The sequence below is a fragment of the Homo sapiens genome, chromosome 12, assembly GCF_000001405.40.
Source record: "Homo sapiens chromosome 12, GRCh38.p14 Primary Assembly".
Lineage (NCBI taxonomy): Eukaryota > Metazoa > Chordata > Mammalia > Primates > Hominidae > Homo > Homo sapiens.
Genome location: NC_000012.12, coordinates 68,672,819 through 68,688,412, shown reverse-complemented (window position 1 = coordinate 68,688,412; position 15,594 = coordinate 68,672,819). Strand labels below are relative to the sequence as shown.

Genomic DNA, 15,594 nt, shown 5'->3' with positions numbered 1-15,594 from the left:
AACCCAGGAGGTCTCCTGTCCCATCACAACACTCCCTGTCAGTTTCACTCAAAGGTCTAGAAACTAAATTGTGCGGACTAAAAGGCCTGTGTTTAAGACAAGAATCTAATATGCTTTTCCTCCACTTAAAACCTTCAGATATTCCTTCAGCAGGAAAGTATGGGAAACAACCACATAGAAACAATTTTAAACGTTTAACAATTAAAATTAAAAACAAAAAAAAAAACCTTCAGATAGCTCTCTGGTCTATAGAAGTAAAAATTTCCTAAAATGATATTTACAATGTGACCCCAGTTTAGGGGTTCAGTCTTCTATTCAGCCACAAACATCACTTTAAACGTATACTGCATGTGACCACTGAGCTACACGTACTTTTTTTTCATATCCTAGCACCTCTGAATATGCTTCTTTTACAAAGACCTACATTTGCCCCCTTGAGCACCTGGTCAACAACTACTTACTCCTCAAAGAGCCTCAGGTAGGCTGGAGACACACAGATGCAGGTTGGCAATTTGGTTCTTGTATTTATTAGCTTCCGAACTTTCAGCAAGTTCCTTAACCTCTTTTAGTCTCAGTGTTATATATGAAAAAAGGATAACAGTACCCATCTCATAGGATTTTTCTTGTTCTGAAGATTAAATAAGCTAATAATATATATTCAACGCCTTTAGAACAATGGCAGTCACATAGTAGGTACTCAATGTTTGGAGTACGAATAATGTACTCTTATTATTCAAAGACCAGCTAGAAAGTTACCTTCTTTGAGGGGTCTTCCTGATAGTTACAGTGACAAGGAGACTTAATCGCCCCCAAACACTTACCACTTTACACTGCTTGGTTGTCTCCATTACACAACTAATTCCCCGAGGGGAAGGATCTTGAATAACTGATCTTTGTTGTAGGCGGCTAGCACAGTACCCAGATCATAGAGGGAACTCAGAATCTGATGCTGGCACTTGTAATCAGAAAGTCTGGGCTGAGATCCCAGTATCTTCACTGACTGGCTTTGTGATCTCAGGCTGGTCACTTAGCATTTCGAACGCCGCGCTACCTACCCCGCCCACCCCAGGAGCGAACAGTGTTGCTGCCCCAAAGCGCCGAATAGATCGCAGAACGTAGTGGGAAAGTAAGGGACTATTATGATCTGTACCCCACCCCGACGCACGCCAAGCGGCTTTTTCCCCATTTGTGGCCAAATTTCCCGGCATGGGGAAGGAGCCTTAGGGGAAGCACCCGGGACCTCCTTGGCTTCTTCTGGGAGTCTAGTTTCACCTATTTCGTTTCGCCAACAGGCGAGACGGGCAAGACTTCGGGCTCAGCTGCCACCATCAGTACTGACCTGTCCATGGCTAAAGCCTTTTCCACACACAACCAAAGTTGGCTGCAGTTTAGCTACCGCGTTTTAGCCTTCCCGCTCTCCGGAAGCAAGCCCTTCGACCCGGAAGCAGTCTGTCCCTAAAACAGACCCACAGAAAAGGGGTAGGGGAGAAGAAACAACGTTCCCATCTAGCGCATGCGCGACTTCAGCCTACAGGTGCACGCCCGGTGGGCGCAGGCGCAAAAGTTTGCCAATGTGTTCCTGGTTGCGTTTAGCCCAGACGCCCTGCGGCCGCTTTGCCTGACCAAAGTCTGTGGGCGTGGAACAGGCCCTGGGTTCTCCTACTGGGAAGAATGAAGTATGTTGATAGTCTGGAAAAATGTGAAGTCATTTCCTGGTATTCTCTGTCAGAAAGCGCCTGTTCTTGGAATTCAGATGCGTGGGCTCTGCCCCACACCTCGGGGATCTCTATCTCTCTGCCTACACTCAGTCCTTTGTTCTGTAGCCCCCTGCAGTTTTTGCAACTATTTTCCATAACTGCTATTTGTTCTTTACTTGGTGTTCTTTCCTATTAAGGAGAAAAAGTTCACCTGTATTAAAAAGTAGAAAGGCAAGCGTGAAATATGATGGTATTGCCCTCTATTTCAAAGTGCCGTCTAGGCAAAAAGTGGTGTATTTTGGTCTTGAAGGAGTCAGTCACATTTTTGTTTTGGTTTTTGTTTTTTCCAGTTTGAAAGTAGTGACTGGCTATTAACTGACCAGATTACAAAAATAATGTTAGATGCTTCAGTTTATCCGTTTAATAAGCCTGTTGATATAGTCTTTTCTGTTGCTGGCATTTATACCTTTTATTAATACAAAATAGGTAGTCCTTCATTCTCCCTCGTGGAGAAGATAATTTGAAGGATCACAGGAACTTGAGTTTTTCAACAGCATAGATCTCATGAATCAGATTCTCCAGTCAGATGATGCCATATTTATCAGGAAATCTAGCAATCAAAGCGTTATCTGTTAAGGTAATTTGTTTATTGATTTTGCCATAACCAATTTGTAGATCAGTTCATTTACTGATTTCAGGTTCAGGTACTCCATGTGATATATGGTTCCACAATCCTCAGCGTGTTAACTGAAGCCTTGTTGAGTTTAACAAAGCTGCCATTGAAGATCTGGGGAAAGTGAAGAAGTTGCAACAGAGTTTTGGGCTCACACCATTGATACATTTGATCCTTAAGGCAAGTGACAATTTGGGTTTCACAGGTATATAGAAATTGCCAGCTTTTCTTGCCATATATTTCTTGTGACAGTGCTGAGCTTTTTTTTTTTACTTCTTGCTTGCTTTTTTTTGGACTTGATTTTTTAAATTATGTTTCCTTCCTTCCTTCTTTCTTTGTTTTTTTTTTTTTTGAGACAGGATCTTGTCCTATTGTCCCGGCTTACGTGCAGTGGCACAGTCACGGCTCACTGCAGCCTTGACCTCCTGGGCTCCAGCAATCCTCCTACCTCAGCCTCCCTAGTACCTGAGGTTGCTGGGACCACAGGCACGCACCACCATGCCTGACCTCCTCTCCTCCCCCGTTTTTTAAAAATATTTTGGAGAAATGGGGTCTTATGTTGTTGCCCAGGCTGGTCTCAAACTCTTGGGCTCAAGCCATCCTCTTACCTGGGTCTCCCAAAGTGCTGGGATTACAGGGGTTAGCCACCACATCTGACAGTGCCTAGCTTTTTCATAGATGTAGCTTTCTCCTTGCTTTTCTTTTTCTTTTTTTTCGAGATGGAGTCTCATTCCATTGCCCAGGCTGGAGTGCAGTGGTGCCATCTCGGCTCACTGCAACCTCTGCCTCCTGGGTTCAAGCGATTCTCCTGCCTCAGCCTCCTGAGTAGCTGGGATTACAGGTGTCTGCCACCACACCCGGCTAATTTTTGCGTTTTTGGTAGAGATGGGGTTTCACCATGTTGTCCAGGCTGGTCTTGAACTCCTGACCTCAGGTGATTCACCTGCCTCAGCCTCCCAAAGTGCTGGGATTACAGGCGTGAGCCACTGCGCCTGGCCTTCTCCTTTCTTTTCAAAGCATTTTATGGGCAAACTTCTTTCTCAGGCACTTGACCTTTAGCTCTGTGAAATTCCTTCATGTGTTTTATTTTTATTTTTTGAGACAGAGTCTTGCCCTTTTGCCCAGGCTGGAGTGCAGTGATGCAATCTTGGCTCACTGAAACCTCTGCCTCCCCGGTTCAAGCGATTCTTGTACATCAGCCTCCCAAGTAGCTGGGATTACAGGCGTGCACCACCATGCCCAGCTAATTTTTGTATTTTTAGTAGAGGCGGGGTTTCACCATGCTGGCCAGGCTGGTCTCGAACTCCTGACCTCATGATCCACCCGCCTCGGCCTCCCAAAGTGCTGGGATTACAGGCATGAACCACAGTGCCCAGCCTTCCCTCACATTTTTAAAGGGTTTCTGGCACAGCAGGAATCTTCTTTTTCTTGTCTTCAATACCCTCCATGGTTTCAGCTGGGAAAGAGGAAATCAGTGGAAGTTTTGCCTTAGGCATTTATGTTCTGCTGTAATTCTGGGAAGCATAGTTCCCCGGAAGGCCTCTTCATACCTTATTATCCCCTCTCAGACAACATGGCATTTTGATAAAAACATTGCTTTGGGCTCCATCTAGGTTCAACCCCCCTGCACCTGCAGATTCCTCATCTGTAGAGTGGAGAAAACAATACCTTTGTCAGGGGGTGTTGTGAGGATTAAACAAGATGTCATAGGGAGTCCCTGTCTCTAACATAAGTTTTAAAAATTAGCCACGTGTGGTGACACGTGCCTGTGGTCCCAGCTACTTGGGAGGCTGAGGCAGGAGGATCACTTGATCCTGGCAGGCCGAGGCTGCAATGAGCTATGATCATGCCACTGCACTCCAGCCTGGATGAAAAAGTGAGACTTTGTCTCAAAAAAACAAAACAGACAAACAAAAAAAACAGAGACATCAACTGTATACACTGTACATAGCAGGTCATTGAAATGTTACTTTTCTCCTTTAATAACCTTTCTGAAGAATAATGCCCTGGCATGGTCTCATTCTCCCACCTCCTAATTTTCCTGTATACAAGTTCACTTTTTCTTATGGAAAGTGAAATGTAGTCCTAATCAGAGCTGGGGCAAGTTTATTCAAAGTATGATCTGTGGTTCATGTTCTTGCTCTGTGTCCCTCAGCAGTTGAATTCCAATGAGTTTTATTCGTGTAGTATACTTGAAGTGTACTTGAGGTGATTGACCATGAAGCACACAATAAAAATTAGCCCTGTGTTTGGGGCAAAAAAATTAGCCCTGTGTTCAGTTCATATGCAAAGATGGAAAACTTTTTGGAAAGTGCACTGGGTTTCACTTTTGACACATTTAATTAGTAGGCATGAACACCATAGCAACCCTGCCAAAATTTCAAAACATATTCATTTCATTACCTTAAAAGGATGTGGAATAAATTTCTTATGTGGTGTATATTGTATACATGGTAGCTTTATGTTTAGTATTCTTGGTTGCAATGACAGAAATTGACTATGGTTAACTTAAACAAAAGGGAATTTACTGGAAGCACATCAGGAGATCTTGGAATTGTTAAGAAACTGGAGAAAAGGTCTGGGATAGCACAGCTCCTCAGGAGCTGAAGGCCAGGAAGCGTCTTTCCCAAAGACACTCAAACTCCAACTGTTTGCTCCAGAGCATCCTTCACCTCCCTTATCCCCAACAGCTGAGGCATCAAATATCATTATTTGTACCCCCACCACCCCACCCCAAGTTTTTTTTTTTTTTTTTTTTTGGAAACAGGCTCTTTGGGCCAGGTGCAGTGGCTCACGCCTGTAATCCCAGCACTTTGGGAGGCCGAGGTGGGCGACTCACGAGGTCAGCAGTTCGAGATCATCCTGGCCAACATGGTGAAACCCCATCTCTACTAAAAATATAAACATTAGCCAGGCATGGTGATGGACCCCTGTAATCCCAGTTACTCTGGAGGCTGAGGCAAGAGAATCACTTGAACCCAGGAGGCGGAGGTTGCAGTGAGCCGAGACTGCACCATTGCACTCCAGCCTGGGCGAGAGAGCAACACTCCGTCTCAAAAAAAAAAAAGGGAAAAGAAAAAAGAAACAGGCTCTTTGGATCACTCAGGCTGGAGTTCAGTGGCGCAATCTTGGGTCACTATAGCCTCAGTCTTCTGGGCTCAAGCAATCTTCCCACCTCAGCTTCCTGAGTACCTGGGACTACAGACTCGCACTACCACACCTAGCTAATTGCTAATTTTTTTAATTTATGTTTTTGTAGAAATGGAGTCTCACTATGTTGTTCAGGCTCATCTGGGACTTCTGGGCTCAAGTGATCCTCCTGCTTCGACCTCCCAAAGTCCTAGGATGATAAGCCACCTTGCTCACCCCCTCCCTACTTTTTATTTTGAAAATTTTCAAACCTACAGAAAAGCTTATATAAGAATAGTACAGTAAGGCCGGCTGCAGTGGCTCACACCTGTAATCCCAGCAGTTTGGAAGGCCAAGGTGGGCGGATCACCTGAGGTCAGGAGTTTGAGACCAGCCTGGCCAACATGGTGAAACCCCGCCTCTACTAAAAATACAAAAGAAAGTTAGCCAGGCATGGTGGTGAGTGCCTGTAATCCCAGCTACTTGGGAGGCTGAAGCAGGAAAATCACTTGAACCTGGGAGGCAGAGGTTGCAGTGAGCCAAGATCACGCCACTGCACTCCAGCCTGGGCAACAGAGCGAGACTTGGTCTAAAAAAAAAAAAAAAATAGTACAGTAGACCTCAACATACAATATTTCACCACAATTGCTGTCTTTTTGTTTTTTGGTTTTGGCTGAACCATGTGAAAGTTAGCTGTAGTTATGATACTTCACCCCTAAATTTTTCAGCATGTATCTTCTGTTAAATAAAATTGATGTGGGGAGCATTGCTTTGGACTGAGCTCATGCCAAATCCATGTAATCAAACTGTACTTTAAAACAGTGTCTGTAGTCTCAGCTACTCTGAAGGTTGAGATAGGAGGATTGCTTGAGCCCATCCAGCCTGGGCAACACAGTTAAGACACCGTCAGAGGTCGGGCGCGGTGGCTCACACCTGTAATCCCAGCACTTTGGGAGGCCGAGGCAGGCAAATCATGAAGTCAGGAGTTCGAGACCAGCCTGGCCAACATGGTGAAACCGCATCTCTACTAAAGATACAAAAAATTAGCCGTGCGTGGTGGCATGCACCTGTAATTCCAGCTACTTGGGAGGCTGAGGCAGGAGAATTGCTTGAACCTGGGAGGCGGAGGTTGCAGTAGGCTGAGATTGCACCATTGCACTCCAGCCTGGTCGACAGGGCAAGACTCCGTCTCAAAAAAAAAAAAAAAGAAAAGAAAAAGAAACACACACACACACACACACACACACACACACATAAGAATGGGCCAGTTTTCCAAAAAACAGGAGATTCACGGCAACTAATCAGAAGAGGCTCAGTCTACCTGAGCCACTAAGGTCTGTTTTGACCTCATGTGTGAAAGTAGCTTTGAAATGATCAACCTGTTTTTTCTTCCTTATTTCAGCTTTCTTCAGCCCATTTCTTTTCTTTTTTTTGAGACAGTCTCGCTCTATCACCCAGGCTGGAGTACAGTGGTGCGATCTTGGCTCACTGCAACCTCTGCCTCCTGGGTTCAAGCGATTCCCCTGCCTCAGCCTCCCGAGTAGCTGGGCTACAGGCACATGCCACCACACTCAGCTAATTTTTTATTTTTAGCAGAGACAGGGTTTCACCATGTTGGCCAGGCTGGTCTCAAACTCCTGACCTCATGATCCGCCCAGCTTGGCCTCCCGAAGTGCTGGGATTACAGGCATGAGCCACCATGCCCTGCCTCTTCAGCTCTTTTATGTCTATAAAGCACACCTCCTCTGCTCAGCTCTGTCTATTTTGTAGATGGGATGCTGCTTGATTCATGAATCTCTAGTAAAAGCCAATTAAATCTTTAAAATTTGATTTGTTGAAGCTTTTTTTATTTGACACTCCTAAAACAAGGACAAGACATTCTCCTACCTAGTCACAGCAAATCAAACACTCAGAACAATTAATAGTGACAGAATGCCACAACTAATGTATGCAAATTTCCCCCATTGTCCCAATAATGTCCTTTATAACTGCCCCTCTCCAGTATAGGATCGAATATTGGATTATGCATTTGTCATGTCTTTTTATTCTACTTTAACTTAGAATAGTACCCCAGACTTTTTTTTTCTTTTAGTCATTTGGATTTCTGATTGTTTCCTCATTATAACTTTTTTTTTTTTTTGAGACAAGGTCTTGCTTTGTCACCGAGGCTGAAGTGCAGTGGTGTGAACATGGCTCACTGCAGCTCAAGCGATCCTCTTGCTTCAGCCCCCTGAAGTAGCTGGGACTACAGGTGTGCACTACCATGCCTGGCTAATTTTTTTGTTTGTTTGTTTTTAAGTTAGGGTTTTGCCATGTCACCCAGGCAGGTCTTGAACTCCTGAGCTCAAGCGATCCACCTGTCTGCCTTGGCCTCCCAAAGTGCTGGGATTACAGGCGTGAGCCACTGCGCCCAGCCAATAAACACTTTAAAATACATTGAGGGGAAAGCAGAGTGCAGGAATACTACATAGATGTTACTAAGTATTTCTTAATCACATTGGATGGTATATGAGGTCTCTTTGTCTCAGTTTCAAAATCTGCTGAACTGTCCTTTCCCCAGACCCCCTCCAAAAGAAAGCATCCTTTCACCTGATGCCCCTTTCTAGCTGCTGTTTTTTCTCTCATTCCCTTCTCAACCAAACATCTGTTTTGCTAAATTGTAAATAGCCAGTAGTGGTTTTCTTACTATAAATCCAGTATAAGTATCTCTTACAAAAAGATAATAGACATAAACAAAAGGAAAAAATTAAAGAATCCTATGATTCCATTAACTATAGCTGACTACAATTCCACGAAATACCCTCATCAAGAATTACCCAGCTAAGTCCAGTTAACCCACAGAACAAAGAGAGTGAATAATATATTGATTTATGCCACTACATTTTGTGGTAGCTTTTTATGTAGCAACAGAAAACTGTAACAAATGGAATTATATTGTAAAACTGTTCTACAATCTGCTTATTCACTTAACATGAACATCTTTTCATTTCAAAATTATTTGTCTACATCATTCATAATTTACCAAAAGAATTTGAAAGAGTCATATTTCCTTTTTGTCTCCATTTACATTTACAAGGTGACCTAATGCTGTCTGACTTCAACCTTCACTGGTAAATGAAAACTAACTAAGGTGACCAATGATCTCTGCCAGGAAAAGTTTATTTTTCATTTCTCAACATCTCCAGAATATTTGACACCATTCACCACTCTCTTCCTTAGTACCCCCATGCCATTTGGTGTCATGATTTTGTTAGTGGGCTTCTCCTAGTCCACTCCGCCTTCTCTTGGCTAGTCTTCTCTATGAGCTCTATAAATCTGCCTTTACCTTAAACATCAATTAATCTTTTCCAGAGTTCAGACCCAAGCCCTGTCTTCCTCAGTTCTGCATTATTTTCAGGCTTCAAACTACTGACAGTTTCCTAATAGATTTCCAATCTATATTCTAGCCCATATCTCAATTTTATATTCCAGACTCATGCGTCTGGTGGCTTACTAGACACATTCACTTTGAAGATATAAGGTACCTGAAACTTAACATGTTCTAACTCTAAACATGAACTCAATAGACCTGCCCCTCCCTCACTCCTCACCAAAACAACAATACAACAACAACCCTGCTTCTCCTTGTATATTTTTTTTTTTTAGTCTTGGCAAGTGGCCATATCCAGTTAGCCAAAAATCTGGAATTTAATCTCAGTAGGACTAAAGTTCCACGAGGGCAGAGATATTTATCTTTGTTTGGTGCTGTATCTCTCTGTTTGTCAATTGAATTATTCTTCTCTCATCCCCTGCATCTACTTTGTCACCAAATCTCAAATATGTCTTCCCATTTCCATTGCTACCTTCTTCATTTCCAGTCCCAACTCATCATCTCTTCACTGTTCTAAGGTAGGTCCTCCAACCGAATTCCATTCTTTATACTGCTAAGAGGATGATCTTCTAAATATGCAAATCTGACTGTCACCTTTCAGTTTCTTCCCAGTCTCAATTTTAACTTTAAACTACTACACTCAGCCTTCAGGACGTGATTTACCTGTTATTATCTCTGCCTCAAATTCTGTATTCCAGCTATATTCAACTACAGCTCCCCAAACATTCTACAGTCATTTGGCATATTTTCTCTGCTCCTACTAAGTAGAAGCAGAAGAGGAATAAAGCAAGACCATGTCATAGACTGCTATGCAGTCATTAAAAGGGAGTTTAGAGAGCATTTGTAATAACTTGGAAATGTTTATGTTTTACTTTAAATGAGGGAAGCAGACTGCCATATTATATATATCAGTATGCTCAGAAACAATGTAAAATGTATAAAACAATACTGAACAAAAATTATACCAAAGTTCATAGTGCTCATCTTAGGTGAGACTTTGGCTATGCCTTGTTTTGTTTTGTTTTTTGAGAAAGGGTCTCGTTTTGTTGTCCATGCTGGAGTGTAGTGGCACAATCATGACTCACTGCAGCATTGACCTCCTGGGCTCAAGTGATCCTCCCACTTCAGTCCCCCAAATAGCTAGGACTACAGGTGTACACCACAATGCCTGGCTAATTAAAAAAAACAAAAAACCAAAAGCCTTTGTGTGTGTGTGTGTGTGTGTGTGTAGACAGAGTCTCACTATGTTGCCAAGGCTGGCTGGTCTCCTGGCTCAAGTGATCCTCCTGCCTCGGCCTCCCAAAGTGCTGGGATTGCAGGAGTGAGCCCCTGCACCCGGCCCACTATGCCTTGCTTTATTTAAAGCAATATATTTTCATAGCAAGATCCAATTGAAATTCAAATAAATATTTTAATAAGTTCATTAAGAATTCCAGTGAGTCAGATGTGTGTCTAGTGATTTAAGTTATAGCAGGTGCTTAAATACTTTTGCCATGTTCAAAAGATAGTGGAAAATCTTGAATACAGTTGTAGGATACACAGAAGCTTATATAAAACAAAATTAAGTATTTAGACTATTAACAGCTTGTTCAGATATAAGATGGTGTGATTTTTTTCATTTTAATATTTGGGGAATTTTCCTCTTTGAGCTCAAAACATTGCAAACATGCTATTATAACTTAGTAATATTCTTTTTATCTAAAGTAATAGAATTGGCTGGGCCTAGTGGCTCACACCTGTAATCCCAGCACTTTGGGAGGCCGAGGTGGGAAGATCACTTGAGCTCAGAAGTTTGAGACCAGCCTGGCCATCATGGTGAATCCCTATCTCTACTGAAAATATAAAAAATTAGGCGGGTGTGGTGGTGCATGCCTATAATCCCAGCTACTCAGGAGACTGAGGCAGGAGAATCGCTTGAACCTTGGAGGCGGAGGTTGCAGTGAACCGAGATCGCGCCACTGCACTCCAGCCTCGGCGACAGAGCGAGACCCTGTCTCAAAAACAAACAAAAACAAAACAAACAAACTCTCTCTCTCTCTATATATATATATATATATTCTTACTTAAAATCTATTACTAGTAAAACTTACATTTTGCAAATTGATATTAGCGCATGGTCGGCAATGTTTTAGTCTTTTTTTTTCCTCCCTGGATGTTGACCAGCTCTTTTAATTTACTTTAAAAAAATTGTGGTAATGTGTACATAAAATTTACCATTTTAACCATCTTTTAAGTTTGTAGTTCATTGACATTAAATACATTCACATTGTTGTGCAGGGCAATGTTTTATCTTTTAAAAAAAAACAAACTTGAAGGTCTTGTGCCTGAACAATCCCCTCCCCTCCCCTCCCCCTCCCCTGTTCTTTTTCTGAGATGGAATTTGCTCTTGTTGCCCAGGCTGGAGTGCAATGGTGCAATCTCAGCTCACTGCAACCTCCGCCTCCCAGGTTCAAGCGATTATCCTACCACAGTCTCCCAAGTAGCTGGGATTACAGGCATGCGCCACCATGCCTGGCTGATTTTGTATTTTTAGTAGAGACGGGGTTTCTCCATGTTGGTCAGGCTGGTCTTGAACTCCTGACCACAGGTGATCCTCCCACCTCGACCTCCCAAAGTGCTGGGATTATAGGCATAAGCCACCATGCCTGGCTGGGTTTCTTTCTTTTGCCTTCTTTTCTTTTCTTTTTTCTTTCTTCAATGTTTTATTCTTTTTTTAAAAAAAACAAACCAAACTTGAGGGCCTTGTGCCTGAACAATGCTCTTTTCTTTTCTTTTTCCTTGCTTCCTTCCTTCCTTCCTGTCTTTCCCTTCCAACCTTCCTTCCTTCCTTCCTTCCCTCCTTCCTTCCCTCTTTCCTTCTCCCCTTCTCTCCTTTCCCCTCCCCTGCCCTCCCCTCCCCTCCCCTTCCTCAGGATCTCACTGTGTCACTCAGGCTGGAGTGCAGTGTCGCAAACATGGCTCACTGTAGCCTCGACTCCTCCTGGGCTCAAACGATCCTCCCACCTCAACCTCCCAAGTAGCTGGGACTACAGGTGCACACCACTATGCCCAGCTAATTTTTGTATTTTTTTGTAGACACTGGGTTTCACTTTGTTGCCCAGGCTGGTCTCGAAATCCTGAGCTCGTCTCAAATTCCTGAGCTCAAGCAAGCTGCCTGCCTTAGCCTCCCAAAGTGCTGGGATTACAGGCATGAATGAGTCACCGTGCCCCGCCCAATGTTTTATTCTTTCTTTTTTTTTTTTTTTTTGAGACGGAGTTTTGCTCTTGTTGCTCAGGCTGGAGTGCAGTGGCGCGATCTCGGCTCACTGCAACCTCTGTCTCTCAGGTTGAAGCAATTCTCCTGCCTCAGCCTCCTAAGTACCTGGGATTACAGGCATGCGCCACCACACCCGGCTAGTTTTTTTTTTTTTTTTTTTTTTAGTAGAGATGGGGTTTCGCCATGTTGGCCAGGTTGGTCTTGAACTCCTGACTTCAGGTAATCCACCCGCCTCGGCCTCCCAAAGTGCTGGGATTACAAGCATGAGCCACCGCACCCAGCGCCAATGTTTTATTCTTAAATAAATGTATTTGCTTTAAAAATTTTATATATATATATAAATATATATAATATATATATATATGGTAACTGATTATCCGTTCAAATTTTTAATTATTTGTTACATTGTTTTCAAAAAGTTATTTATTCAGATAATGATGTCTGTTTGCTTTCTCTGTATTTTCAGGCCCACCCCGCCTCACTCCCACCCTCTTCTACTTAATTCAGGATGTGAATAGCACATGCCTTCCATCTTCAGACAAACACTGAGGCCTGGACAATGACCTGCATTAGGTAGATAGAATCTACTGAAAGCTAAAAGCCTTTTCCTGTGTCTTAGCAGCACGGAAGCCACGCCTCCTTCCCCCCAATGTTTGTGCAAACCCTAGAGAAGAGGAGACAGCCCCTATGATGTGTGAGGTTGAATTTCCTGCCCTCAACCCATCAAATCAGGCAGAATGAGGGCTCAGTCAGAACTACAACTACAAAAGAGAAAAATTTTAATGTGACTTTTCTTGTCTGCTCAGATTTTTGGGTTAAGGTTCATGCCAGCTACATTCTTTGCATAATAAAATATAAATAGAGTATAAATTGTTCTAGTTAGAGAAAACAGCAAAACAGTGCTCTCCCAAGGGCCCTAATAAATCACTTTACAGAAACGTGGATGTGTGTTGGATTTACAGGATTTCTATGCCAAGCAGAGAAGTACGTGAAAACAGGAAAGCAAAATGCATAAGTTGCAATAATAGTTTTGTGGTTTAGCTGAATAATGTCCTATATCAACAGAGGATAATGATTTTAGTTTTTCAGTTGCCCCAAGATCATTTCCATTACTGATGAGGCTTGAAATGTCTGTGAAGAAGAGTCATTGCAATTGATTTATTTGTCTGGCAAACTTTTTGTCAGCAAATTCACCACTACCTCAAAAATCTCACTAGCTACTCTATGCTTAAGACATTGGAAGCATAAGCCACAATGAAAACTAACTCTTAGCATTAGAATTCTAAGAAGCAGTAATGTATTTATGATTTTATGTTAAAAATCTCCCAGATGTCAGCATTTAAATCACAATTCAGTAATATAAGTAATTTGAAATTAGAAAGTTTTATACTTCACCATTCTATTTTCCTCTTCAAATTGAACACAGTTTGAAAGAATTAAGAAAAGAAGCTATAAAAAATAAATTGTTCAAGGATTCTTCCTGTTTCTAAACACCACAAGATTATGATGATAGAGACATCATTTGAAGTGGTAGAGAGTACTGTGAAATATCTATATGTGAATGTAATGAAAATGAAAAAATAATCTGATGAATTTTTAAAATTAATCTTGTTAGAGTCATTTTTGAGAAATTGTATGCAAGTGTATTGATTGAAAATGACCTTCTCATTCAAGAAAAATTTATTGAGCACTTACCAAGTGTCAACAGGTGAATGTGAATAAAATAGATATGGTCCCTGCCTTCTTGGAGTTGAATAAAATAGCAAACACTTATTGAATATTTATTATATGTTGTGCATTATAATATTAACCAATGTTTATTGAGTTGTTATTATATGCCAACTATGCCAATCCTGTCCTAAGCAATTTATGTATGTTAACTAATTTAATCCTCACAATAAATCTATGAGGTAGGTACTATTATTTCTGTCATAAAATTACAAAGGCATAGAGAGATAATTTGTCTAAGGTTCCATAGAGTAAGTAGGGGACCCAGAATTCAATTCAAGGAGTCTTTTTGTTCTGCATGACATCTCAACTGCTATATAAATATTATTTAGTTCCCAGGGCAAATTTTTCAGGATAATATTCTTATTCTCTCAATTTTACAGAAGAGAAAACTGCAGTGTAAAGAGGTGAAATAACTCACCAAAAGTTAACTGACAATGATCCTACCCACTACATCACACTGCTTAACTGGGAAGACACGCAATTTAACAAGTACCAACCAGGCTCCACATTTAAACTCTGACCCCGTTTGACCTTAAAGTAATGCATTTTTCTTCAAAGCAGACACTTCGCCACCCCAAAAAAAACCATATCTGAAAAGACATAATGTACTTAATCAATGGCTTCCTGCTATAATCACCACAACCACATCCTTTCCTAGAATCGTATCTGTCTTATTGAATCCTTCCATTAGCTTTTCTCCTATACATGAAGTTCAAATAGCACACCTGAGTTTTTGAGGGCATACACAACTTACACATTCCAGGCTCAAATATTTTTTTCCTCCCCTGACTCATGAACTTTTTGAAATTTAACAGTTTCTTCTATCTTTTATGCTACCTGGTCTATCTGAACCAAACATATATATTTTGCAGTTTCCTCCTAAAATACATTCAAAGCACTGTTTTGCTTCGCATTGCTGATATTTAACTCCTTTGCAATATCACTGCTACTTATACACAAACAAAAATCTGGTGTTTTTTAAGAGGAAGCCAAACTAAATAAATCATTTTAAAGATATATATATGGTTGGGTGTGGTGGCTCATGCCTGTAATACCAGCACTTTGGGAGGCTGAGGCGGGTGGATCTCCTGAGGTCAGAAGTTCGAAACAAACCTGGCCATCATGGTGAAACCCCGTGTCTACTAAAAAATACAAAAATTAGCCAGGCATGGCGGTGTGTGCCTGTAATCCCAGCTACTTGGGAGTCTGACGCAGGAAAATCACTTGAACCCGGGAGATGGAGGTTGCAGTGAGCCAAGATTGCACCATTGCACTCCAGCCTGGGAAACGAGAGCGAAACTCCATCTCAAATATATATATATAGGTTGAGCGCAGTGCTCACGCCTGTAATCCCAGCATTTTGGGAGACTAAGGTGGCGGATCATGAGGTCAGCAGTTCGAGACCAGCCTGGCCAACATGGTAAATTCCCGTCTCTACTAAAAATATAAAATTAGCCGGCATGGTGGCACGTGCCTGTAATCCCAGCTCCTCAGGAGGCTGAGGTAGGAGAATCGCTTGAACCTGGGAGGCGGAGGTTGCAGTGAGCTGAGATGGCGCCATTGCACTCCAGCCTGGGTGACAGAGCGAGACTCTATCTCAAAAAAAAAGAAAAATTATATATATATATATATATATATATATATATATATCTTTGTCTATAAGTGAATATCTTCTAATTAGAGGATCTATGATAATGTATCTTTAAGAAGATGCGTCATGCATCTATGATCCTATGAA

General features: G+C 41.9%; 1 protein-coding gene, 1 long non-coding RNA gene and 1 pseudogene across 4 annotated transcripts in view, besides 1 other annotated feature; 1 reads left to right on the top strand and 2 right to left on the bottom strand.

Annotated features, from left to right (window-relative positions):
* NUP107 (nucleoporin 107) overlaps positions 1-1,435 on the bottom strand; it is a 58,832-nt gene extending 57,397 nt beyond the window's left edge. For all 3 annotated transcript variants that reach the window (NM_001330192.2, NM_020401.4, XM_005269037.5), the window contains exon 1: positions 1,340-1,435. Coding sequence is in view for 2 of the 3 variants with exons in the window: in NM_020401.4 (NP_065134.1) it covers positions 1,340-1,347 (8 nt within the window). In the remaining variant the exon portion in view is untranslated. The remainder of the gene's footprint in view (positions 1-1,339) is intronic.
* LOC100507250 (uncharacterized) lies at positions 1,554-14,042 on the top strand. The gene is made up of 3 exons (NR_038930.1): positions 1,554-1,676; positions 2,396-2,550; positions 12,592-14,042. It is a non-coding gene; the product is annotated as an uncharacterized LOC100507250 (long non-coding RNA).
* On the bottom strand, positions 2,105-2,633 carry RPL7P42 (ribosomal protein L7 pseudogene 42; annotated as a pseudogene).
* Positions 7,880-7,993: a silencer, noted in NCBI's record as "fragment chr12:69074200-69074313 (GRCh37/hg19 assembly coordinates)". NCBI's record gives its function as "represses an EF-1alpha promoter that drives an FKBP-Casp9 reporter gene in an ReSE screen in phorbol 12-myristate 13-acetate-treated (for megakaryocytic differentiation) K562 erythroleukemia cells {active_cell/tissue: K562(+PMA)}" and the evidence as "EXISTENCE:reporter gene assay evidence [ECO:0000049][PMID:32094911]".
* Positions 14,043-15,594: the final 1,552 nt, after the last annotated feature.